This window comes from Homo sapiens, chromosome 6 (genome assembly GCF_000001405.40).
Source record: "Homo sapiens chromosome 6, GRCh38.p14 Primary Assembly".
NCBI lineage: Eukaryota > Metazoa > Chordata > Mammalia > Primates > Hominidae > Homo > Homo sapiens.
Window position 1 is genome coordinate 152,430,267 of NC_000006.12, and position 26,909 is coordinate 152,457,175.

Below are 26,909 nucleotides of genomic sequence, written 5' to 3' on the forward strand. Positions count from 1 at the left end.
AAAAAAAGTTACTGAGAAAATGGCATACCTACCTTTTATGGATAACTTTTAATGTAATTATAAAATGCATTCTTTAAACATCTAAAATCAACATGTCCCATTATTTCACAAATTATGTCTTTCTCTTATTCCACTATTTGTAAAGTATTTATTGCACTTACCCACAAATACAATGTGAAATATGTAAACTTAAGTATAGGTGGATCAATTCTTACCTTTCTAAGGTTCTCTTCAAACTTTTGCTGCTGAGATAAATGTCCCAGGATTGTTCCTTCCAGACACTGTGCATGCTCTCGAAGCTCTTCCCCGTATCTTCTTATTTGTGTCAACTTGGCTTTAATTCGAGCAGATTCTCCAGTGGTAACAAACTGAGCAAAAGACTGGGCTTCTTCTTCTAATCCTACAATGCTGCTGAGCTTACTTTCTATTTCCTGAATTGTGACCTAATAGTTAAAACAAGAAAAATGACAATGTAGGCTGAGCAAGCTTGCCTTCCTGAAATGATACAATTATCTGCAAAGAGGGAATATTTTCTTAACTGATATTTGAAGACTTGGATGGTTAGAGCGCAGCTGTGAGCAAACACCATGTGTTTGGGGAGATGAGATATGCCGAAAATGTCTGCAAAATACAGTGATGGGTTGGGGGGTGCTTGCTGGATAGAGCATACGGAGAAATAGCTACTCTTGCTTGCAGTGAAGTAAGCAAGGAGATGTCCCTGGGACACTTACAGTATCTCTGAAGGTACAGAGAATTATGTTTACGTTATGAATTAGGCGTTTTAATTAACTGAGCTGGGGAAGCATTGTGTTTCAGTAACTCATTAGAATGCTAAATACTGACATTCACTTATTTTTCTAAAATTCAGTTGAGTATTTTATATGTTACTAAAAGGTTTAATAACTGCACACCTACCTAAAAGTAGTTTTCCTTTTTCAAACTTATCATCTATTCTTGATGCCAGTGGTTTCCAAAGCTAGAATGCACTAGGACCATCTGGTCCCTATTCTCCGGGATTCAGACTTACTAAGTCTAAGGTGGGGCTCAAGAATTTTCATTTCTAACAAATCTCCAGCTGATGCTGAGGCTGCTGATCCAGGGACCTCATTGCTATGTACTTGACAGAGAAAAGCCCACATACTGTCATTTCAATTTATTTCAACTGGGGGAAGAAAGGACATTTTACATGTTAACCAACATCTGAAAAATACTGATAACTATTAAGGAAGTGTGTGCATGTGCACATGTGTTTATGTGTGTCTGTGGAGTGTCTCTCACAAACATAGAAGCTTGTTTGTATATAAGAAGATGAAAATTATTTCTCTGAGAAAAAGGGCCAAATTATTCAATCAAAATACATCAAAAATTCAGCCAAGTCTCTGTTTCAGATTATTTAAATGGAAAATACTATTGCCCTAGGAAAAAAATAAAGTTTTGACTTCTGTCTAGATGAGACACCATAGTCAGAAATAATTTCTGCCTAGTTGAGGCAATCAGAAATAATTTACATAAATGTCGGATATGCATCATTTTTATTTTTCATATGAATGAATGAAGTGGTATATCTCATCAATATTTGTTATTTGAGCATTTATACAGGCTTCCTTTGTTTTGCTGTTTTTTAAGATTATATTTTTTAGAAAAATTAATCATAAATTCAAAAAATATAGGTTGTCTACAAAGCACTAATAATTGTTCTAGTTGCTTGTAACACATCGGTGAAACAAACTTAGTTAAGAACCGAGCTCTTAGTTATTAGAGTAATACTTGCCATCAACAAATTCATATATACGAATCACTCAATCATATTGTTGGATTGTGGTAAAAATAAATCCATCCAGGAGAAGAAGATGGAAGACGAACCCAGCATATGTTCTTATCATTTATCAATTATAAGTTAGGAATAAGAACTCAGTCATTTGAAATGGCATGTAATAATGAACAAAAGTGGGCTTAGTGTATTTATCTTCCAACAAGGCAAATGCTTCATTACTTTTAATCCTAAGATCGTTTTAAAGGAAAAATATTACAAGTGTTACTATATTTTAAACCTTTCCTATAATGTAGTCTTATGTTTGGAAATAAAACATGAACCTAATAGACCAATTTCCATAGGACAGTGTATTCCACTGTAACTTTGCTTATTTCTAGCAAATATCTTTTTCCTGGTATTCATATTCACTTACATATTTTAGATAGTTTTAAAAATGCCTTATTGGACGTATTGAAATGTATTTCTAGTCTGATAAAATAAAAATAGACAATTGAATATATATTTTAAGAAAACATGTAATCTTTTTTTCTGGAGAATAACAATGAGATGACATTAGATAGTTGATATATTCCAGAAGCTCTGGAATAAGGGTGGAAATAATAGTAAATGAATTATAGAAAAAATAAATACGTTGAAAAATGTGTGTTAATTTTCAAAAGGGGACATTTTTGAGACAAAACTATTTAAATGTGCTATTCTTTTTTCTTAGAATTTAGTGAAAATGATTAAATGACAACTTTTAAAAACAATTTTAACAATTAAAAATATTTAATGAATATTCTTCCATGGCCTCACATCTATTTTTCCTGGTATACCAAAGAAGACATAGCAGACTGTGTATATGAAACTCCATGTATGCTTGATTGCAAAAGATGTGTGAGAAGCAAGGATGATCTGCACAGCGGGTAATCTTATCTGAGCAACATTGCACCCTCCCACCCTCCACATGGTAACGACTTGTTCTGAGCCACAGTGTGAAATGTTCCCTCACCTTGGTATTTATTTTACTATATTTAATTGAATGAAATAGCAGAGGGTTTTCCCATTCCAAAAAAAAAAAAAGCTGAGGTAGAAAAAGTGGCTGAATTTTGAAAATGTGTGGTATAAAATTGTATAAAAGAAAGAGAAATAAACACTCCAAGCCCCTGTAAGCCCATTTTTCTTCTTGAACTGTCTGAATGAAGTGGCCAATGATAGTCTATCCACCTGGTCATTTTAGAGCTGGGAGAGGTAAGGAATCAGAGGACCTCTGTCCATGCTCCAAGGTCATAAATGAAAACATCATAACCATGGAGTAGAACTGCTTCACTTAAGAAAGATGCTTTTCAAACTCCTCCTTGTGATTGGTGTGGGTAAGTACCACTAATACTTGAACTAGACATTGGGAATGGGATTTTAGAGTTGTACAGGATGAATACATTTCATGTTGTATAATGAACCGGCAGAGCATTCTATTGAGGTTAATTCAAAATCAAGGAAAAGAATTAATGTAACCATAAAAATATTTTAATGATATTTCACACAATATTAACTTTGAATGCACAAGTCAGACAATGTGAATACATAATTCCAACTATAAATGTTGCCCAGTATTAATCCAGACCTCTTAGCTTGATAAAATGTATGAATTTAATTTTAATAGTCACATTGCAATGAAAGTCTTGTCCTGGGACCGAACAGCATTTGATGAAATGTAAGAAAGTAGTTCTTAAAAGCTAGACATGGATTATAAATATAATGTGTGAGCAGGTCACCTTAATTTGGCTGATTTGCATGTCCATGGCAGATGACGAAGTTTCCAAGGCATTGAGTTCTTTTTCTTTCTCAGTTATCCAGACGGACAGAGTCTCAAAATTACTGCCAAAATGATCCCACTTGGTTTTCACCATTTCCATGGTTTTAATACTAAAATTAACCAAATTAAGTAAATAAAACTCAGTATTTTAATAGAGAACAACAACACATTTTCCTTGAAATCACCAGGTGAAGAGATAATGAAGACATTTGTGACCATTTCAAAGTTGAAACTATTCACGCTAAAAAAAAAATTGCACAGTTGTTCTGAGTAGTTTATCAGGTTTTCCTATCTTCTCTGAGAATGAACATTTAATGAGGCAGTATCTACACTTTGAGTGAAACTGCACTTTGAACAAAACATTGCTGGGTCCAAAGGGGTTTGAATCCAGGTAGAATCTAATTAAACTCTGCATGTGACCAGTTGTTGCCAGGACTTATTTTTATAAACTATGCCAGAAAAGATTTCAGTGTACACAGCTTTTCAATAGTCCTATTTCCAAAGAAATGTTCTTCTTACACTTAAAGGAGAGACACTGCAGTGATGCTTTCTATAGAAATACCTTTATAAACTGCATCTTATCAATCAAGACAGAGCTCGTGATCTCAATCCCATGCTGCCGGGCAAGAACTGTTTCTATTATTAGAGCTAATCCTGCGATGTATAATCTTTGTGACTTCAGCCATTTTCATAAATGTCTTATGGTCCTGATTCCAAAAGACATTTATAAATTATTGTACATGAGCACCCTAACTACTTTTAGACAACTTATAGGTTTTATTTGTAACAAATCTAGTGAACAGAATTTCAACTATAGATTTCTAATTTGTATTAGCTATGCATGTATAACCAGGTGACTATGGCTTTCAGTTTAGAAAAAGACTAAGAAACTAACAGTATATAATTGAACTAGTAAGTCCTTGGGTTAAAAAAAAAAAAAGTGAAAGAATGTCCCTGTTTACCAAAAGGCACTTGAAGACATCAAGAAAAATAGAGTGGCATCATTGACTGTCAAATTAAATAATATTGCAGTCTCAAATTTATACCCTGAATGTGCCTAATGCTGTCAGCAGTACAGGTAATGCAAGCTGTGTTATATTGCAACTTTTTAAATTAAATAAAGGTTAAAATGGCTATTCTTAATAGAAGTAAATTCCTTTCTAATAAACTCTGTTTTACTATTTCCATAACTTGATAGAGAATATTTAATGTAATATAAAGTCCTCAAAATTTCAAGTCATAATTTGTTTTAAATAAAATATGTATCAAATTTTAAAGTTTAGGCAAATGTAAAATGTTAATTTTAAGCTGTTAATAGTATTAAAAACACATTTTACATTTTAAAACCCACCTTAGAAATGATGGCCTGTCCCTTAATAATAATATGCTATTATGTATCATTGATTTGCCACTAAATTATGTTAAAAATAGAAATGTTTAGCCATATTGTTTTGAATAATATTGGCTGTATCCTCATATGTTTTTCCCCTCCAAACTTTTTTGTATATTTTGGGTATATAACAGGATATCAATAGGCCAAGCAGTTTTTTTTTTTCAGATAAACAAACATTAAAAGTTTAAAAATAAAATATTTTAAAGTTAATTTCTGGAAAGAGCATATTAGTCAGGATAACTTGAATACCGAGGCACTGTAAACAAGCTCCAGGAGCTTCTTCAGGTTGGAGATATATGGTCTATGTGATGTGTATTTAGGCCTGGAATCTACACTAACAAAATATCTCCTTTTCGCTCTAAATGGTGACAGCAGAATAATATAGTAAAAAAATTATTTTAAATATTAGTTCTTTTTCAAGATTCCCTCTACAATGTACAAAGGCCACAGAATAGAATAGATATGGCTTTCTCATGAACATGATCAGTTTAAGATGCAAAACCCACATCCTTTATATTTTTTGGGCTCTGTTATAGATATTGGTTTCTGTATTAGCGATACTTTCTTTTGAACTGTGAGTTGTTTCCTCAAAACATGCTGAAATACACAGACACTTTGAGATTTTAAAAGAGTGTTTTGAATACAAGGTACAGGAAAGATTGTATGAAACTTTATCTCAGAGAAGAAAGTTTAGGACTTGTCAATCACATACTCTTCTTCAAGCGTGTCTTCTAATTTTTTGACTTGTTCTTTGATTGACTTGGCCTGCTGTTGAAGCAGCTGCTTATTTTGGGGCCCAAGCGGTATCTCTGAAGCTTCCTTTACAAGGTTCTCAGCCTGGACTGCAATACTTTCTGTCCGTTTAGAAAACTCCTAGAAAAAATATTATGATCATTAGGTAGGCACTTTATATTATTTATCTCTGCCCTCAAATAAAGTGCACATATTGCATACAGAACAGATGGGTGGATGAAGACATAGAGTCATACATGTATGGATCTTACATTGTTCTTAACAATAAATCTGACTTATTTCCATATGGCCAAAATAGACACTTTGCTAACAGTTTTTTATTTTATTTCTTTTTTTTTGAGATAGGGTCTTGCTCTTTTGCCCATGCTGGAATGCAGTGGTGCAATCATGGCTCACTGCAGCTTCCAACTCCTGGGTTTATATGATTTTCCTACCTCAACCTCCTGAGTAGCTGGGACCACAGGCAGGCACTACCACATCTGGCTAATTTTCTGATTTTTGTACAGATGAGGTCTCACTATGTTGCCCAAGCTGATCTTGAACTCCTGGGCTCAAGTGATCCTCCAGTCTTGACCTCCCAAAATGCTGGGATCACAGGCAGGTGCCACCATGCCTGGCTAACTTTTTAATTTTCTATACACAACCAGCTATTTGCCTTCATAGTTTTCCAATAATACTCACAAAAATTGTTTCTCCTTTGTTTCCTGGTTTTGTCTCATTGTTTAGAATTCTTAGATCCATTATAATAATTAATTTATTCACAAATATGCTTACTTATTACAGGCCAGTTCACAAAATCAATAGTGATTGATCATAGACATAATAGATTTCTAGGCCAATGAATAGAAACATTTATTTATTTAATGTAATATCTTAGTCAAAAGAGACTATCAATGATCTTTGGCCAGGCATGACGGCTCATGCCTTTAACTCCAGCATTTTGGGAGGCTGAGGCAGGAGGATCACTTGAGGCCAGGAGTTTGAGACTAGCCTTGGCAAAATGGGAAGACCTCCATCTCTAGGGAAAAAAAAAAAAGTGACCAGGCATGATGGTGCATGCCTGTAGTCCTGGCTACTCAGGAGGCTGAGGTGAGAGGAGATAGAGGCTGCAGTGAGCAGGCATAATGGCGCCACTACATTCCAGCCCAGGCAACAGAGCAAGAATTTGTCTCAAAGAAAAAAGAGAGAGAGAAGTAATCAAGCCATTTTGTTAACTAGTTCTCTGAAAAGAGCTATAATCTAATCTTAGTGCTGTTAAATCTTATTTATTACATACACATGTATCACATGATGGAAAGAGAATATAAGTTTTGAACCAGTCAAGCCTGGGCTAGAATCCAGGATCACTAGTTGTTTGACTTTGGTGAATTATTTTCAGGCTCTTTCATGTAAAATGCAGATGATAATCCTTTTCTTAGAAGGTTACTGTTAGCATTCTATTAGCAATCTTACTTTTAAAGTGCCTAACACTCTTGGAGATACTGATTATTGTTTTTTATGTCTCTCATACAAACTTGAGGACAAAATGATTTATTAAGCCAATATACTTATTTTAAATATTTTAAAATAGTTGAAAATACTTATTTTCAACTATTTTAATTGAAAAGTTGATTTAGTATGTATGTGGCTGGTAAATATTAGATGTTACCTGAATTTTGTCAAGTAATTATATTGAATGCTGAATTAGAAAAGGTAAACCCAGTAATAACCTAAGTGAAGAAAATGTACTTGGTATCTCACTTCTTCTCATGTAAGAGAATCTCACAGGAGGTTTAAATTTTGATCAACTCCCTTCTCCTAAATGAATAATGTAGAAATATAAGTATTTTTCCAAAGTCAGCTTTTCAGTAAGAGCATCTCCTAGAACATAGTACCATATAAGATAGAGTTACTAAATAATACTATTATATCTTCATGTTTAAAAGACTTAATGTTCTCATAGAAATATCACGAGTTCGGCCAACAAATATCAGTGTTGGCCAAGATTGTGCCACTGCACTCCAGCCTAGGTGACAGAGTGAGACTCTGTCTCAAAAAAGAAGAAGAAAAAATCAATGTTACTTCAGAGAACTACGTTGCAATTTAAGAGAATAAAAATGAATAAGTACAGCTTCCTTATGGCATAGAGATTTATAGTACACTAAAATATGGTAGTTGCTAATGTCACAACATTAAATTCTTTGGATAAAAGCACCCACTGTTACTATATCTGACAGTCATGGTAGATTCAATTGTGGAGATTACAAATCACCACATGATCTCTTAGAATCCCATGAATATAATCAGAAGTGAAAAATAAAGTGTTTTATTTTTTTCTGCTAGTGTTTCTCAGAACCCAGGAAAAACATGGAAAAAGTAATGTTTGAAAATGCTTATATACATTCAATTTTAGAGCTTTTTATGTGAGCTATGTATGGAAAAAGCATAATGCAGAGAAATCGAAAGAGCAGAATGATGGTGATAAAAAAACAAAATTAAACAAAAACAGAATAACATTGTAAGGCCTTATCTCTAACTTCTTAGAAAACATATGAGTGGCAGGCAGCAGGATGCATCAGGTAAAAATTGACTCACATTAGATTGATCTGGGATGAAACCTAGGCTCCAACCTTCATTAGCTGAGTGACCTTTGGCCACATCTCTCTGAATTTTCCTTTCTTCATCACTAAAGCCATATCTTATTTTCAAGATTAAACATGACATTGCTATGAACCCTCTATCACACACACCAGTACACAGAGGACACTCAAGTCCCTTAGCATAACCATTCCTTAGCACAACTACTCAAGGGCTATCAACTTGAATAAAGGTTTGTAATAACAAAGCAAAATGAGCAAAGAACTACAGGAGAACAATGATTCTAGATTGGCAGTGAGCATAGGCAATTAGTAAAATGGCTCTGTTTTTTGAATGAAAAAATAACGTAGTGACTAAAGATGTGGGCTCTGGAAAAGGACCTTTTGGATTGAAATCCCAACCTCACTATTTAGTGATCCGCAGATCTTGAGTGAGTTCATCACCAACTTTGTGCCTTATGTGTCCTTCCTCATATAACACGATTGATAATGATACCTATTTCTTAGGACTGTTTTGAGGATTAAAGGCGATGATAAACATCAAATAATTAATTCGGCATATTATATGTGTTTGATAAATGTCACCTCATATTATTACATCAATCCCAAAGCATAGAAGACCATGGACAAAGGAGAATTTGAATAACAAGACTCAAAAGATTCCATTTGTTTCAATCTACAGGTACTTAAACTGATCCAAAGGAATTAGTGCAAATGGAATCATAGGGGGTCAGAAACTCTGGCTGGAACGTGGTCAGAAACATTTAGGAAATTAACCCAATAAACATCTTTGTATTTATAAAAGGCACCTGATACGTTTTTAATACACGAAATAATTTATTTATTTTTTAAAATAGAGATGGGGTATTGCTATATTGACCAGGCTGGTCTCAACTCGTGGCCTCAAGCAATCCTCCCATCTCAGCCTCCCAAAGTTTTAGGATTACAGGCATGAGCCATCGTACCCGGCCAAATAATTTAAATTAAAAATTAAAATAATGTTCTATTTAAATGACTGATGAATATCGTATAGACTTGAAAGAGTCTGTGGTCTTAGAAAACTTCAAAATCCTCAGTGAGTTTTTAGGAGAAACAAAAAATTAGCAGTATGGGAGAGAGTGAAGCCTTTTGCAGGTAAGAAAACAGAAACACAAAGGTTTTCTTGCTAAAGGCTAGGGAAGGGTGGGCACAAGGCTCTTCTTTCTAAGACACCGGTTAGTTCATTTCTCTACTAATTCAGTCTTTCTATAAACCCCAAAGAGGCACCACAGGAACTTCAATGCTTGGTACAAATTGGTTGGTCTGCTTAGAGTGTCCAAGGTGTTTGAGCTTGTAGGGTTGGGTTCACCAAGTACACCTACTAAATACGGTCTGTTTGATGCCCCATTGGAGTCTCAAAATCGCTACCTCCAAAATGAAGTTGGTCATCTTTTCCCATGAACAACTTCTCGTTCACATCCCCCATCTCACTTCCATTGTCTCCGTCAGACTCAAAACCTCAGGTATCAACATTTTCGTCACTCACTCTGTCTGGTTAGTTTCCCTATCTTCCTGTGAACTCCACATCTTTTGTATCTGTTTCTGTGTAACACCTGCCACCCCACCGCCCTTATTTATGCCCATATTAACTCCCATATGCCCATATGCAATAACTTAAATGGATCCCATGACCCCAGTCTTTCACACTTTCAGTCACTTTTCTACACCTGCCTAAAAATTCATCCAAAGCCCAGCTCTGATCGTGTGGCTTTTCCTTTTAAGCCTTCAACAAGTCTGGCTCCATGTTGCCTAGAAAGTAATGCTTTAGGTCTTCAAGACTCTGAAATATGGGCCAAATTTCCTTTACAAATTCATTTCCCATTGTTCTATTTTACAACACAGAATTCCTATTCAGAACACTTGTATGCTCTATGCCATTCCACCTTCCAAAGAATGTCTGTATTTTGCTCCAAACTCTACTAAGTTTTACTGACCTTTAAGGTTCAGTTAAAAAATATTATTGCCTCCAGATTTTTTTTTTTTTTTTTTTGAGATGGAGTCTCACTCTCTTGCCAGGCTGGAGTGCAGTGGTGCCATCTCGGCTCACTGCAACCTCTGCCTCCCGGGTTCAAGCGATTCTCCTGCCTCAGCCTCCCGAGTAGCTGGGACTACAGGTGTGTGTCACCATGGCCAGCTGATTTTTGTATTTTTAGTAGAGATGGGGTTTCACCATGTTGGTCAGGATGGTTTCAATCTCTTGACCTCATGATCTGCCCTCCTCAGTCTCCCAAAATGCTGGGATTACAGGAGTTGAGTCACAGCGCGCGGCCTGCCTCCAGATTTTAAAAACTCTATACACATCTATTAGGGAACTAACCATTTTCCAATTTGATAAAAATCTTTGTTTTACTTCTTGATGTTTAATCCTACTTATGTTTTCATTCTCCAATATGTTGAAAGAATGGGTCATCAATAAATAGTAAGTATTGATTAAATTAACAATAACAATTAATAGTAATAATGGAGGAGAAATCATTTTGTTTGTTTTGCTTTGTTTTTTCTGAATATTGGGTACCAAGGAGCCATAATATACCTTTGTTTGTTCCAGTTCTGAAGATAAACTTTCCAAACTGCTAAAACTCAAGAAGCGTTCATGACTGGAACCTGTTTGAAAAAGGTATCTTACTACTGTTTCTTTGTTTGTTTCAAATCGCTCCCATTTTCTTAATGTGACCTAAATTTGAAAAAATAAACAACAAATGGGTTACAAATGTCACACAATACTATCATATTTTCATTCGTTTGCAAAACTGTCAACTTTCAGCGAATTCTCATTTCAAATTTCACACAGTCACAATGAATAGAGATGATTCTAGTATCTTCTGTAAGAATTTCTTTTCTCTATGTTAATGTTTTCATCTACAAAAAGAGAGGACACATGGACTCAGATGATTTCTGAGTTTTTTATAATTTGTAAAGTCTTAGAAATGTAAAGATATTACTTAAAATGTAGATAAGTGACAAAAAAATAAAAAAGGCCTCTCAATCTGTCTCAAACAAGAAAGGAAGCACAGAAGAAGGTAGGGAGAGGGACAAGGAGATGAAGAGAGAGCATTAAGCAGTTGGCAAAAACTCAGAAACATTTTTAAAGGTAATGTGTCAACATCCCAATAAAGCATAAAGGTGGCATAAATGTGTGGCTGCATGGCTTCCTGGAAAAGTGAAATGGCATGATCAAATTTCTGGATTCAGAAAAGTGTGGATGAAATCCTGGCTTTATTATTGATCAGTGCTGTGTGATACAGCACCTAGTCCTCAAACTCTTTCTTCTTAAGCATCCACACTTGCAAAATGTGCAACTTCCAATATCCATCTCTAAGGCTGATGTGATGATTAAAAGATGGTTCATGTACAGAATTTAACACAGGGCTGAAACATCAGAGGCGGTAACAAAGGTTCGCCTTGGTGTTATGAGGCACAACCGGAAGTGAACACTGCCCAGCCTCTGTTTAAATGGCCCCTAACTTCCGGCTCCTACCTGGATGCGGCGTTCCTGCCTCTCCCGGCTGCGCTCCAGGCCATCCAGTGTGCTCTCCAGCTTCCGCAGCTCCTCGTGGCCTCGGTCAGGCAGCCCCCCTTCTCCCTGCTGCGCCTGCGCGATCTGCTGCTGCACATCTCTCTTCTTTGCTGAGATCCGCTTTGTCTTTTGCTAGAAGCATTTATTCAACAGATGGATATAAATTGTGCTCTCTAAACAGCTAAGTAGGGACATCAACACCCACGCTTAACAGAAGTACAGAAAGGTGGGCCCGAAATGTATTTTAAAGCTAAGATTAACAGTTGAAATGGTAGTCGGTTGCTATATTAGTCAAAGATGAACATTATTTATAAATATTGTATGTTTTTAATGGTAAACAACATAAATAATTTGGCTTTCGTGTTTTGTGTGCAAATTTGGAGAATATTTAGCATTTTGTGCAATACTCTAGGAAGAGTCTGGCAAAACAATTCATCTGACATGATTCTTCTTAAATAATTATTTTCTGCTTAAAAACACAAAGTCCCAACTCCAATTTTTAAAAATTATTTATTTTATTAAAATGCAAATATTAAGAGATTTATGGCCAGGGGCGGTGCAGTGGCTCACACCTGTAATCCTAGCATTTTGGGAGGCCAAAGCTAGAGGACTGTTTGGGGCCAAAAGCTTGGAACAGTCTGGGCAACATAGCAAGACCCTGTTTCTACAAAAATATTAAAAAATTAGCCAAGTGTGGTGGTACATGCCTGTGGTCCCAGCTACTCGGAAGGCTGAGGTGGGAGGGTCACTTGAACCCAGGAGTTCGAGGCTGCAGTGAACTATGATTGTGCCACTACACTCCAGCCTGTGTGGCAGAGTGAGACACTGTCTCCAAAAATAAATGAATAAATATTTATTTCCTAAGTATATTCGGAATGGTTAATTTGCTGAGATTTTGTGGGGGGAAATTGTCTTAAAGTAAACTTTTTATTGAAGTATAATCTTCAAATAGAATAGTACATAAATCTCAGATATGCAGCTTATAAATTTTCACAAAGTAAATGCACCCATATAAAAAGTACCTGGCCTAAGCATTTTAAAATATTAACATAAATATCTATAATCTTAAATTTATTGGACCTAAAGTAAATGGAAACCCAAAAAACCATTTCACAATGATTGAGAACAATGTAACACCAAATATTAATTTTTTATACTCAGCCATTTTTTAGACAGAGTCTTGCTCTGTCGCCCAGGCTGGAGTGCAGTGGGGCAATCTCGGCTCATTGCAAGCTCCGTCTCCCGGGTTCATGCCATTCTCCTGCCTCAGCCTCCTGAGTAGCTGGGACCACAGGCGCCCACCACCACGCTCGGCTAATTTTTTGTATATTTAGTAGAGACGGGGTTTCACCACGTTAGCCAGGATGGTCTCGATCTGCTGACCTCGTGATGCGCCCGCCTCGGCCTCCCAAAGTGCTGGGATTACAGGCGTGAGCCACCGTGCCCGGCCTATACTCAGCCTTTTTATAATTATTAAGTAAATCTAGAAATCCTGAAGGCTGGGATTTTAAACATACTTTTAATGCAACTTCCGTTTTTATATATTACAGAATATATATGTATATAATACACACACAAACATATTATATAAATTAGCTACCATTTTGCTACTGTGTATCAGGTTAGCTAGAATTTTTCATTAAAATATTTTATTTGAATCAAATTTCCATTTATATTGCGTTTAACAAGGTATATATTCCTTTTATGCAAACATTTGTAATGTGCACTACCAGACTATCAGAAATTAAGTTGATTAAAATAGCTTCTTATCAGTATATATACCAGAATTTCTTTATTTCTAGTTCTAATCTTTATAAGAGTGTACACTCCAGGAAGGTCTAGTACTTCAAGTAAGTCATCATTTCTCAAACTAAAGTGTGTTCAGCGTTGTAAGTTGAAGAGAAAGATTTTAATATAATGACAAAAGAACAGTGATCTCAAATAGGAAGCAATTGGTCCATCTATGCCTTTCCATCTGTTTTGAAAAGGAGAATCTAGCACGTTTTGTGCAGTTTTTCATAGCTAAATCAATTTTCTCTCCACAGTATTCCTTGAACTTTTTGATGTCATCAAGTCACTCGGTCTGGAAATTTATGTTGCAGAATATCCTGAAATGTTTAATATTTAACAGAGAAAGCAAAACCCAGAAGCGCCAAATTCTTTTAGCCATTCAACTCTTCCTTCCCATGCCCCCTCACCCACTCTCTCAAGCCAGTGGTTGTATTCTTTATCTCTCTGGTTCTTTCAGTAGCAAATCAACTTTACATAATCTTGTTGGAAGAAAGAGGCATTTTTACCTGGTGATGAAGAAGTAACTGCTGTGCTTCAAACAGATTTTCAGTATCCAAGATCTTCTCAGCTTGTTCCTGGACTTCTTTAGAGCCAGAAATTAATTCTTCGAGAGAATTTTTGACTATTTCTTTGTACTGGACACAGTCCCCAAAATTGCTTAGCATCTTTTCAACCTATATTTTCATGAAAAAAAAAAACACGTAAATCATATGCTACTTGTTGAAGTTTGTATAATTTTTTTGGTAAGGTATGATTGACAAATAAACATTGTACATATTTAAGGTGTACTACGTGACTGTGAAATGATTCTCCACATCAGGCTAATTAGCCTGTCATCTCACATATTTCTCCTTTTGTTTTTTTGTGAGAACACTTAAGGTCCACTCTCGTAGCAAGTTTCAAGTATACAATAGGTAATATTAACTGCAGTCACCACCAGAACTTTTTCATCTTAGAACTTAATGTTTGTACTCTTCGATCAAAACCCCCCTGTTGAAGATCATGTAATCTTACATATTTTAGGACTGTGCACAAAGTCTACCTCAACCACTTGACATATAAACACAGATCTTTAACTTTTATTCTTTCTCATATTACTCAGCCTTATTCCATTATCATTAAATTTCATAATCATTTATGGGGCTTGCAGGTTTTATTCGATATGGTGCTCTGGGGCATATTAAAAACCCATTCAACCTGGTAATCAAGGAAGGATAACAAAACTGCATATATTATATATATATATATTGCCTTTTAGGTCTCTTTCATTATAATTGCGTGACTAAAACCTAATTATAAAAGTGCCTTACAAGAAAGTGAGTCCGTATTATTTAAAACAAATAGGAAAACATTTGTAGAGTTGAAAAAGAGAATAAAAGAGTATTTGTTATAAATGTGCTTCCAATATTCCTACATAAAAATAAATATAATTTACAATTTTGTAGTCATCTAATGGATTCTCTTCCTTATCATTTCCCTAAATTTTGAATTTTCTTGTCTAATTTCTGCTTCCTCTATTTCAGTTTTACCAACATCCTTTGTTTTCGAAGCCTATCCTTTATCTTCACTAAGATCCTCCTTTTTACATGTTGTCATTTGTTTTCCACAGAAGCCTTCCAGTTTCTTCTTCTTTTATCCTATCTTTTTTCTTTGACTCTCTTCTGATCTAAGTTTTTCCAAGGAGAGCAATCTGTTCTCCAAACAAGCAGCAATGAGACCTTACGAAAACCACAAACTCCCAATTTCAATATAAATCAGAGCAAATCTATTGAAATAATGACTCTTCACTGTATCTTGTGCATCCACCCACAGTCTTTTTTTTTCTTACACTGGACAATTGCAAACACATTGTGTTCAACATTAATTTAAATACTAAATGAATTATTATCAAAGAAAGGGGCTGAATGTGCCACATCCATCTCTTCATACAAATCTATCTGTAAACAAAATGTGTTTTTCTCCTTTCCTCTCTTTCTGCTTTCACTAAGTAAGTGATCAAGTAGTGGAAAAGGGTATTAATATAAATTATGCAGAAGTTTAAGGCAGATGAGTGTGTAAAAAATTAATGTCTGTATGAACATTCATTAGAGAGAGATTCTTACTATAAGTCCTGGGGCAAAATCATGACAGTACTTGGAAGATAAAGCAAATGGCCTTGGTAAATGTTAGGGAAACTACTGACTTCTAACTTTAAAGACAGTCAATTTTTTTTTTTTTTTTTTTTGGTGAGACAAAATATATTACAAGCTTGTCTGTGAATAACGACAAGTATTTGTTTGATCTTGGCTCAAAGATCACCTTCATGTACACTAACTTTTTAGAATGTTGTTTTTGCTTTTCCTGTCACCAAAAGAGGGAAGGAAAGAGCAAAACAGGCAACTGGCTAAATGTGGCCGTTGCTTTGAAAGATGGATAATCAAAGGATTGAAATAGGTTATGTTCCAAAATTTGATTAATCATAGAACTATTTTCAATTTGTCAAAAACTCATAGGGAAACTCTAATTTATATATAAAAATTCTCACATAAAACTAAAATCGTAAGCAGTTCAGAGTATTTTTGGCTTATGTAAATTCAGCACTAGAGTCTCAAGCAGATTTAAATGGATTAAAAACATGAAGGTTAACAGATGAATTGTTAGATGAGAAATCTCTGTGGAGAATTTCAGATTTTCAGAAACAGAGCTTTGTGGTCATTTTCTTGTAATCCATTAGGCCATTTTTCCATGCAAGTTTCTACTTAAATGATTTCAAGAAATACTGGTAAATATCTATTCTACTTTACGTTCTTACATTATCTTCCAAAGCACAAACTTAGATTTATATAAAAACCTGGTCAGTAAAAATATTTTTGCTGATGGTGGAAGTGGCCCTACTGGAAATGAAGTAGATGCGTTTGTATATTTTAATCTATAAAGGAATATAGAAAAACATTAAAATGCATATCAAAGCACTAGGAAGAGAATTTCACTGGCCTGCTGATTAAACACTGAATATTTTATTATTACTAAGAACCAGCTATTGAGCATTTACTCTGTTTCAGGAACTACACTATGTGCTTAACATACATTACTGCATTTAATTCATGATACTTCTTTTTAGAGTGAGTATTTTTAACCCTGTGTTATAAATAAGGAAATCAAGACCTAGATGTTACGTAAGTTGAAGGTTACCTAGGAGGTAGGGTATCACATTTAAACTCTAATCCTGGATTTCTTTGACCCTAAGCCTTATTCTTAGCCTCCATGATTTATCTTAAGCTGACCATAAAATAACAATGCTTTTTATAAGAGTAAAAACAGTGGATTTGACAAGTTTTATATTTCAGATATAGGTCATGAACCTGAACTAACATTTCCAATAATGGCACAGACCATACATCAAACATCCTCTTCATCTTTCCCAACAAGCTTCATACAAAAAAAGCATAACAACAATTCTGTTTCAACTATGGTTTCTTTATAAAATTACTTGCTAAACTACAACCAGAAGAAAAAGAACCTTCCAGATGCCTCACTCAGAACTGTCTGTTTAGAGTGTGAGTAAATGCTGTACCTCTGACAGCAGCGTCACAAGAGCCTTGAAAGAGCTGGATAATTTTGCCAGCTCATCTCCCTGCTTTTGGGCTTCATTCTCAGAAGAAACTTCTGTCAAAACTTTCAGCCTGGATTTCAGCCAGCTGAGGGTCTCACCCCTTTTGGTAACACCATTTCTGATCTCCTGAAATGAGAGAACACTTTTGATGAACACAGTGCAATTGTGAAATCATAACTTTCCAGCAATAAAGGACTCAGCCTAAAAAGGTTTGCAGGTGGAGCAGAATAGAGCCAGACATCATTCAGCAATACAGTGCCTGCTTAGTTTACTTTTTGTATGTACTTTTAACAAAAGTCCACAAGTGCTTGAAAGAAAACTGTTGTCTATTCTTGAATCAGCTTCATAATTAGATTGGTTAGATACTTATAGATATGTCCTTGATGGGAAAAAAGATGATTCTAAAAATACTGTAGAAAAATATGAGACGCCACAATTGGCAACTATAACATACATACACTTTGTTATCTCACTTCCTTTGAGCTGGAAAGAAGATGATATTTTGTGAAAAAATAATGAAAGTTCTTTTTTTCAACCAGCTGATTTCTTTTATTGAAGAGTCTACTTGTTGAATATTGTTATGGATGCTCTAAAGATTTATTTTAACTTCATTAACTTACATTTTCTGCTGAATTTTTATTAGCTTTTAGAAGCCAGTATCCCATATAGCAAGAAGTATAAATGGGAGCACAGCTCTAATTTAGGAAGCGAGGCTTTATTGATAAGAAAATGCTAGAAAGACTCCAGGGCTTCAGACCTTGAAGGGCTGCTGACTGAGGGAGTGGTGACTGGAGCAGCCTGTCCTCCCTACAGCAGTTCTGGGGTGGCTCAAGAGCAGGGGTCCCCAACCAGGGCCACTCCAGGGCTTTGCCAGGGCAAATGCACACCAGCCAGGAAACTGTTGGTTCCAGACCCCAGTGATCTCTTCATTCTAGGATGTGAATTTTTTTTTGTGCGATGCAAGCAACCAGTAGCAAATGTAGATATCCTTCCATATGCATACCATGATATTGAGCACCACTAGCATTTAAGGGGATTGTATAATTTAATTGAAAAAGAAATGGGCCAAGGGCAATAGCTCACACCTGTAATCCCAGCACTTTGGGAGGCCGAGCAGGGCGGATCGCTTGAGCCCAGGAGTTTGAAACTAGCCTGAGCAACATGGCAAAACCCTACCTCTACAAAAAATACAAACATTAGCCAGGCATAGTGGCATGTGACTACAGTCCCAGCTACTCAAGAGGCTGAGGTGGGAGGATTGCTTAAGCCCAGGAGGTCGAGGCTGAAGTGAGCTATGAAGGTGCCACTGCACTCCAAACCTGGGTGACAGAGACCTTGTCTCAAAAAACAAACAAACAAACAAACAAACAAACACTCAAAGGACAGGAACAGAAAGGAAATATATTCTCCCCAACAGCAACTATGTGGCAACTTTGTGATGTGCAAGGGTTAAAAATGTTCAAAGATGAAGACTTTTTACAACATTATGTGTCTAAGAGTGAGAGAGTGCCATTTACAGAATGCAAACTGTGTTTGAGCCTGAGGCTCTGTGGCCCTGGTGGGGTTTTTCAGGCTGTACCCACACTGATAGAGGCTGAAATGAACCAATCCAGCTTAATGTCACATAGAAAGGATGCCTAGAGACCTTGCCCAGCTCCCTGATCTTTCTGTGACCTGCCTTTTGCATGGCTGAAAATGTATTGTATAAAAGCATACAGTGTTCTTGTTTTCCATGATGATTCTTAAGTTTCTACTGGGTTATACGCCCATGCATGCAATTTTCCACTCAGGACTCCCCATTAGTTAAAGATGCATTTGTGGCACCACGGAGCATGACTAACCCTCAAAGCTACCAAGGATTCAATAGGAAAAAACTCTACATGCTCCACAGTAATATAAGGGGACTTATTTTAAAGACAATTTTCAAGAACTTATTTTTTTTCCAGAAAGAAAAAAGCAGAGAACCGTTAGATTCTCTAACATTATTCTTCCACTATGAGAAATTTTCCTCTAGCAAATAATGACCCTGAACTTACTTCAACGGCACGTTTAACCTCTCCGTGGTTGGCAGTATCGATGGCCTCACCCTTGATCCCCTTTAATTGTGTCTCATTTGTAGATATCCAAGATGAGAACTCAGAGAATCTGAAATAACATAAGCACTTTCTTATTAAAGGGAGAACATACCAGAATGATCAGAATATGTTTTCTATTTTGAATTCACTCATGGAAATTTAACAATTAAGTGATTACCAAATTGATTAATAACTTTTCTGGAAACTATTCTTTTAACATGAAGCTCATGTTAAAGGGCAGGGGTGGCCGCCTCTATGCTCAGTTACTAGGGGCAGGGTGATGGGGGAGCTCAGCTAAGGAAAAAGATGTGTTCTAGGGAATGAGCACCTGAAAAGAAGGAAGGGACCACTTGAGGTCTGGCCTCGTGTGTCCCCACCAGGGTGAGACACGAACCTATAGAGGAAGAAGCCACCCTTTAGGGATATGAGATTATACAGTTTGGCTGTGTCGCCACCCAAATCTCATCTTGAATTGTAGTTTCCATAATCCCCACATGTCATGAGAGGGACCTGGGGGGAGGTAATTGAATCATGGGGGCAGTTACCCCGCTGCTGCTGTTCTCATGATAGTGAGTGAGTGCTCACAAGATCTGATGGTTTCATAAGGGGCTTTTCCCCCTTTTGCTCTGCACTTCCCCTTCCTGCCATCATGTGAAGAAGGACATGTTTGCTTCCCCTTCTGGCATGATTGTAAGTTTCCTGAGGCCTCCCCAGCCATGCTGATCTGTGAGTCAATTAAACCTCTTTTCTTTATAAATTACGCAGTCTCAGGTATGTCTTTATTAGCAAAGTGAGAAAGGACTAATACATAAGGATATTGGGGAGAAAGGGATTGGCCAACTTTGCCTCAAAGAGATAACATCTGGGTCACTTGGAAACAAAGTGCCTCACCCTGATTCTGACTAAAATCCATTCCTTTTATTAAATGAAGGATTTTTGTACGAGAACATGAGCAAGAAATATGAAATAAGTTATTTCTTGTTTTGTCATGATCTCCGAACTAACAGAATTAAGTTTGACTACACCCCTCTCTGGAGGCCATTCTGAGGCTACCTGCTAGTGTAGTCCTTCCACTTGTCTGGGTCTTCCATGAGCTTCCTGTAGGTGCTGTCAATGGCAGCTCTGAGCTCTTTGAGAGTCACGTGACAGGTTCCAGGTGTGTCCCTTACTGGGTCCCGCACTGGGAGTTTCACACAGAGTTCCTCGATGAGCTGTAACCTTTTCTCACAGAGATGATGAGGACCTTTGTCACTGAAGAAAACCTAATGTGTAATAAATGTTTTTATAATCCCTGTGAGAAGCCACACAGTACTTCTACATTTTCACAGAAAAACCAAAGGAAGATTCCCACGCAGACTACCAAGGTAGAGTAATTAAGCTATTATTTTTCAGACTCAAACCAAAATATTAGTAATATCCTTTATGGAACAATGTGACTTGACACGGCTATCCACATTGTGGTGTGGGAGACGTACCCTGTGCTCTTTAATTATCTTTTCACTGCCTTCCTGGGGCATCAGCTTGGTCTCTCGATCCAGCTCAGTTCTGCATTCTTCTACAGAGGCTAAGAACCTATTCTTCTCCACATCAATCTTCAGATGAAGCAAATGATAAGGGGCTTCTCCTTGAAGATCCTACATTCCATAGGAAGATTCAGAAAATTAGGATGAAGTTCCTGATTATGTACATTCCCAATTGAAGTGGCAAAAAAAAAAACAAAAACCATAACATATTCCTTTTAGGGCCAGTGTGAATGGGTCACTACTTTCCACACCTGGTCTCTCTACTTTGTATTTTTCCAAGTACCAGGACCACAGCAAATCCTTTCAGTCTGCTGTGGGTTAGGTGTTTCCTCAGTGATTACTTGATTTAATTTTCACAGTAGCCCTGCACCGTATTTTTTTTTTTTTTTTTTTTTTTTTTTTTGGTGAGATGGAGTCTCGCTCTGTCGCCCAGGGTGGAGTACAGTGGTGCGATCTTGGCTCACTGCAACCTCCACATCCTGGGTTCAAGCGATTCTCCTGTCTCAGCCTCCTGAGTAGCTGGGACTACAGGCAGCACCACCATGCCCAGCCACTTTTTGTACATTTAGTTGAGACAGGGTTTTACCAAGTTGGTCAGGATGGTCTTGAACTCCTGACCTAGGTGATCCACCCACCTCAGATTCCCAAAGTGCTGGGATTATAGGCGTGAGCCACTAAGTCTGGCCAGTGCTGCACAGTATTAATGTTCTTATTTTACAGATTACATCATTAAGTCTCAGGGGTAAGTACAAAAGCTAGGATTTTACCATAGATTTAAATCATACCCTTTCCCCTGTATGTGTCCCTTTTGATTTTGTCAATGACCTTGTGAGGTAGGAGGGGCAGCTATTATACCCACTTCAAAAAGAAAGAACATGAGGAAAGCTTATTACTGAAAAAAAGTTTTAAAAAGAAAAGAAAAAAAAAAAGAAAACATAGCCCAGGCTGCTGACCACCTGCCATATCCTCTTTTCCTTAGATCATACATTGAGAAACAAGCAAGCAAGCACTCAAACACTACATAACATTTCATGTTCTTTTAAATGATAAACATAAGCTTCATCATTACCTTTAGTCCCATAATTAATTTTAACTAACTTCTATCCTATGGCATTTTAAAGGATTACCTTTGAAACAGAATACTAAGATGACTGATGAGAAAAATGAGGTGGGCCTATGGAAAGTCCCACCTAGATTAAATCCTAGAGGTGTGTGTGTGTGTGTGTAATAAAATACAACCTTCAGTTATAGTCTTTATTCCATAATACATTTACAATATGATATGCTTCAAAGACATCTAACAAAGCTTGGATTTCTTTAAGAATCCTTTTTTTAATGAAAAACTTGAATTTTCAAATTTAGTAATATAGCAAGTAAAAAGGATATTTCTTTAACTGTGTTTTTCTTGTGCACAGGGATAATTATTTAGCTTATGTTACTGAGATCTTAAAAATACACAAAGTGAGACAACCTGATGGAGAGAGTTTCAGCTGCCAATCTTCTGAACTCCAAAACTCCTCCATGTAGCGCATGTGAAATATCACCTCAAGGTAGTACACACTCACCTAAAGCTAGAGCTGTCTTCCTCCTGTCTACCTCAAGGAAGACAGCCTTCCATGGGTCTCCACTGTGCTGCAGCTACTTCCAGAATCTGACATGCAGTCTGAAGTCAGCCTCCATGGGACAGACTCAGCTCATCTCCCATGGTTCTTCCACAGCCCATGACACAAAAGTCAGACGGAAGCCCGCGGGCCCCCGTGTCCCGCTTCACGCTCTCCTGCTTTCTCCCTTCTGTGCTGTTGTGTCACCCCCTGCTTACTCCCATTTCTGCTTCTTCTGTAAAGTTCTGGCTCAAAACTAGTTACCTGATTCGCTGTTTTCCAATTTCCAAGTGGTTCCACCTCCCTCTTTCAAAGCTTTCATAAATATATGCACATTTGGATTTATCATATTTATACTTGTATTATTTGCAACTAATTATCTCCTTTACTGAACTCTTAAGCTCTTGGGGGGAAGAGGGGTATGCTTTGTTCATCATTGAATTCTTGACTACAAAATGTTTTCATTTATATTTTTTGATCATAGCTATCTCAACTAGATGATAAAATCTTTGGGGGGCAGAAACTATACATACATGTTTTATGATTTCAGTAGGTATACCTAGCAAGATTTATTCAGCAGAGAGAAGCTTATGAAATGTTGCTAGAATAAGTTAAATGTTCTTGCACCCTGGATTAAAAAAAAATCAGGAAACCAAAAAGAATGCTCGAGTAATAGGATAAAATTGATGCTGATAATAAATAGGAATAACACAATTCTATCATATATTATCAGGTTTTATTTAAGTCCAGTTTTTTGAGTTTTTAAATGAGCGAAATAGTTACAGTGACTTTCCAGGAATTTCTAAATTTCTCTTACATTTGGACCTTAACACGCTCAAGCTTCTCCCTTCATTGAGGATGCACGGTGTCTCCGTCCTGTCCTGACTCACCTTCCATTGTTTGTGGAGCTTTCGAACAGCTTCCTGCAGCCCCTGCTGCTCCTGCTCTGGAAGGATGTCGGTGAGTTCATCACAAGCTTTCAGGAAAGCATTGAGCACCCTCTGATCCAGCTGACTGAAAAACTCCTGACATGGAAGGGGAAAGTGGGTAAGAGTGTTGGACAGACGAAAAGGCAGCACCAGGCACAATCAGCCTCTAAGCCTCCAAACAAGCCTCTCAGCCAGCTGCTGCCCTCTTGCAGACTTCCAGGCACCCACTATTGTTTTTTAAGGATGAACTATGTGCACCTATAGTTATGAATCAGAAGCCATCATATCTGAAATTCTACTAGTATTTTTTATTTTTTAGAAAAATTCTTTGTGATTTTCAAATTTGGTAGAATATTCCAAAAGGAATATCTCATCTTCCAAGGGGAGATGCCAAAACCTTGATTCTGTAGCGATAGAGCTTCGGTTCCCCTTTGGTGAAGTCAGAAGAACAGAACAGAAGCCAGGACTAAGCTTCATAATTCCACATTCCCCAACCACAGTGCTTCAGGGCCTGATGCTTCATCATGAGCCATTGTCACATTCACACATGTGCACACAGAAGCACACATGTGCACACAGAAGCACACATGTGCACACAGAAGCACACATGTGCACACATAGGCACACATGCTAGCACCAAATTGTGTTCTTCTTCAGACTCATATGGTATTTGGAGATGGGAACTTTGGAAGGTGGTTAGGTTCAGATGAGGTCATGGGGATGGGGTCCTCATGATAGGATTAGTGCGCTTATGAGGAGGGACACCAGAAAGCTTGCTAGCTCACTCTCTCTGCCATGTGAGGGCACAGGGAAAAGGTAGCCATCTGCAAGCCAGGAAGAGGGCCCTCCCCAGAACCCTACTATACTAGCACCTGATCACAGATTTCCCTTCTCCAGAACTGTGAGAACATAAGTTTCTGTTGCTTTAGCCACCCGTCTATGGCATTTTGCTCTGGCAGTCAAGTAGATAAAGACAATACACATGCACATATTACATATGACTAAGTCTCACACAGTCTCAGGAGTAGACATGCAGAATTATTTTGTAAAAACGGTGATTCAAAACAAGAAGTACCATACTGTAGAGGTGAATAAACTGAATGAGATATTTTGTGTTTTGTGGTCACAGACATTAACCCTAAATCTAGTCTGCAGAATCACAAATACATTGCATATATCATTTGAGAGTGTGGTTTATACAAATAGCCACTGAAATGTCAGGAAAGATAACTCAAATACATGTTCTCAGAGTGCTGGTTATTTCCATATACCATTCATGAACATTATGACTAATATTCCCAATATTGATATTGAGATGATAAACATGAAGATGGCTTTTCATGATAAACATGAAGATGATAAACATGAAGATACTGGGACAAGTTGTGTATCAGCCACCAGACTTCAAGTGACACAGTATCTATACTATGATATGGTGAATGTATAAAATGAGCACAAAGGACTTAGCTAGTCACCTCGAGTTATCTGTTTAAAAGAATCTTTAGTTATAGAAGAATTTGCAAGCTAAATAATGAATTAGTAATTTGGATAACTTGAATTATTCTATGACTGTCTACTATTCTGGGGACTTAGGAATGGCCAATGACAAGTCAGCTCACCAACTCTCTTGAAGTTCTTTTTGCTCACCATATCTTTGGGTCTCATACCTAAAAAGTCTCTGCTTCCCTGACTCATCTGCCCGCTCTCCTTCTGTATCAGATCAGCATGCCTTTTTTAAGCTTTCCTCCAAGGTTGTTTGTCCATGTATTCAGGTCAAGTGTCCCCTAAAGGGTGGACTCACAGTGTGTCTCCGCAGGAGCTCCTCTGGATCCCCCTTTTCCTCCAGGCCCTCCTGAGCAATCCGCAGTACCTTCTCCAACTCTGCTCGAGACTCCTCAAACTTCTTCATCAAGCGACTGTTGGTTTCCACATGCTTCTTCCAATCTCCAGTTTTCTTTACCATACTCTTGATGTGAAAAACAATCATAATGTGATGCTGCTTTCTCATTACTGAAAGGATCATTTTGTTAGAGGGTATTATTCATTTAAAAAGCACTTGGAAAAAAGACATTTCATCATCATGGGAATAATTAACTCTTTTCAATATTAATTAATATTAGGTAAAAAAGTAGGACAATGATTGGCTTCCAAACACCAGCAGGTAAGGCGTTTTAGCAAGACCAAAAGCACGAGTGATGGTTTCTTGTCCTCACTCTGCATTTTCCCTGGCTCACAGCTCTAAAGCAGGGAGAGCAAATTACCTGAAAAGCAACATGAATATCTGCAATCTGTCTTTGTAGCCTCGTCTGATCAAAATGCTTTAACACGTTGCTCAAGGTCACAAACTTTTGAACACTTTGACTGCCTTTCTCAATAAGTGTCAAGGTTTTCTTACAGTTTTCTTGACAAGCTAACAGTTCCTATAACGAAATGAAACCCCACAACAATGTTATTTACAAGACAGAGTGAGAGAGAAAGAAAGAGAGTGACCATTACAGATAATAAGAACAACATTATATAGCTTTTAGGCTTCTAACACCAATAAGTAAAACCAAAAGTATGGTGGAACATTTCAAAAGATCTCAATTTTAAACAATCACTGAAGTCAGTGCTTTCTTATATAAGGCATTTAAATGTTACAAAGAGTTTTTTTTTTTGAGATTTTTAAATACCTCATGTACATTTTATTGTCATTAAGAAAATGATAGAGCATCAAAAGTTGTCTAGGTCTGCATTCCTCTAGTAAGATGATAGGCCTGTTGTTTATTGAGAGAACAATCATGAAATCAATGAATACATATCAGGTTTTAATGTGACTAAACAAATTGAGCATCAATGCACATTCACTTTGCTGAAAGAGATGCACTATATATATATATATAGTATATCCTAAATTTATAATATTTGAAGGTGTACAACCTATCAGCCTTATTAATGAAATGGTAGGGTTCAGATCCTAATAAAAAAAGGCAGCAGACCGATGCACTTGGGGAAGACTTGCAACTGCTGCACATCTGCAGGACAAGATGCAATGGTGACTTACAGACACCTCCACCTCTGACTTGTAGCCTGCAATTGTGATTTTGGCAGTAGACAGCATGGAAATCATTGAGCCCAGCACAAGGCAGAGGGTCATTTTTTGGCTTGAATTACACCATTTGCATTTCAGTATCCTCAACTGCGTTAGAAAAATACTTCAAACTGCTCATTTGGATGCCATTTTTGGATATCCAGATGCAAATATCAAGAGCATGGTTTTTTTGTTTGTTTGTTTTGGGAAAAACAGAATAAAGACATACTTTTTCCTTTTGAAAACTTAGGAGATAAAAGGGTAATATAAGTCCAAAATGTATTATTAGATTTTATTATTAATAATGCTATGAACATTATTTTAATTATGGAAAGATTGTATAATGACAACTTGTACAAATTTAGAAATGTAGGAGATATCACCATGTCTAAAAATGAAAGATAATCTCTATCCAATACAATGAGAATGCAGTTTGGTGGTATAATCATTGTGGCTTCACTACAGATAATAATAATAATAA

At 36.8% G+C, this 26,909-nt stretch overlaps 1 protein-coding gene across 49 annotated transcripts in view; it reads right to left on the minus strand.

The window, feature by feature from the left end:
* The window catches only part of SYNE1 (spectrin repeat containing nuclear envelope protein 1), a 515,676-nt gene that overhangs the window by 308,580 nt on the left and 180,187 nt on the right, over positions 1-26,909 (minus strand). For 45 of the 49 annotated variants that reach the window (XM_017010610.2, XM_017010609.2, XM_047418504.1 and 42 more), the window contains 13 exons: positions 25,620-25,778; positions 25,160-25,324; positions 23,320-23,454; positions 20,781-20,939; positions 20,359-20,567; positions 19,267-19,375; positions 17,192-17,356; positions 14,145-14,312; positions 11,809-11,979; positions 10,864-11,004; positions 5,675-5,835; positions 3,529-3,679; positions 216-443 (listed from right to left, as the gene is read on the minus strand). In XM_017010610.2, the coding sequence (XP_016866099.1) occupies positions 216-443; positions 3,529-3,679; positions 5,675-5,835; positions 10,864-11,004; positions 11,809-11,979; positions 14,145-14,312; positions 17,192-17,356; positions 19,267-19,375; positions 20,359-20,567; positions 20,781-20,939; positions 23,320-23,454; positions 25,160-25,324; positions 25,620-25,778 (2,121 nt within the window). The remainder of the gene's footprint in view (positions 1-215; positions 444-3,528; positions 3,680-5,674; positions 5,836-10,863; positions 11,005-11,808; positions 11,980-14,144; positions 14,313-17,191; positions 17,357-19,266; positions 19,376-20,358; positions 20,568-20,780; positions 20,940-23,319; positions 23,455-25,159; positions 25,325-25,619; positions 25,779-26,909) is intronic. The other 4 variants (XM_047418508.1, XM_047418510.1, XM_047418507.1 and 1 more) reach the window with 1 other exon arrangement.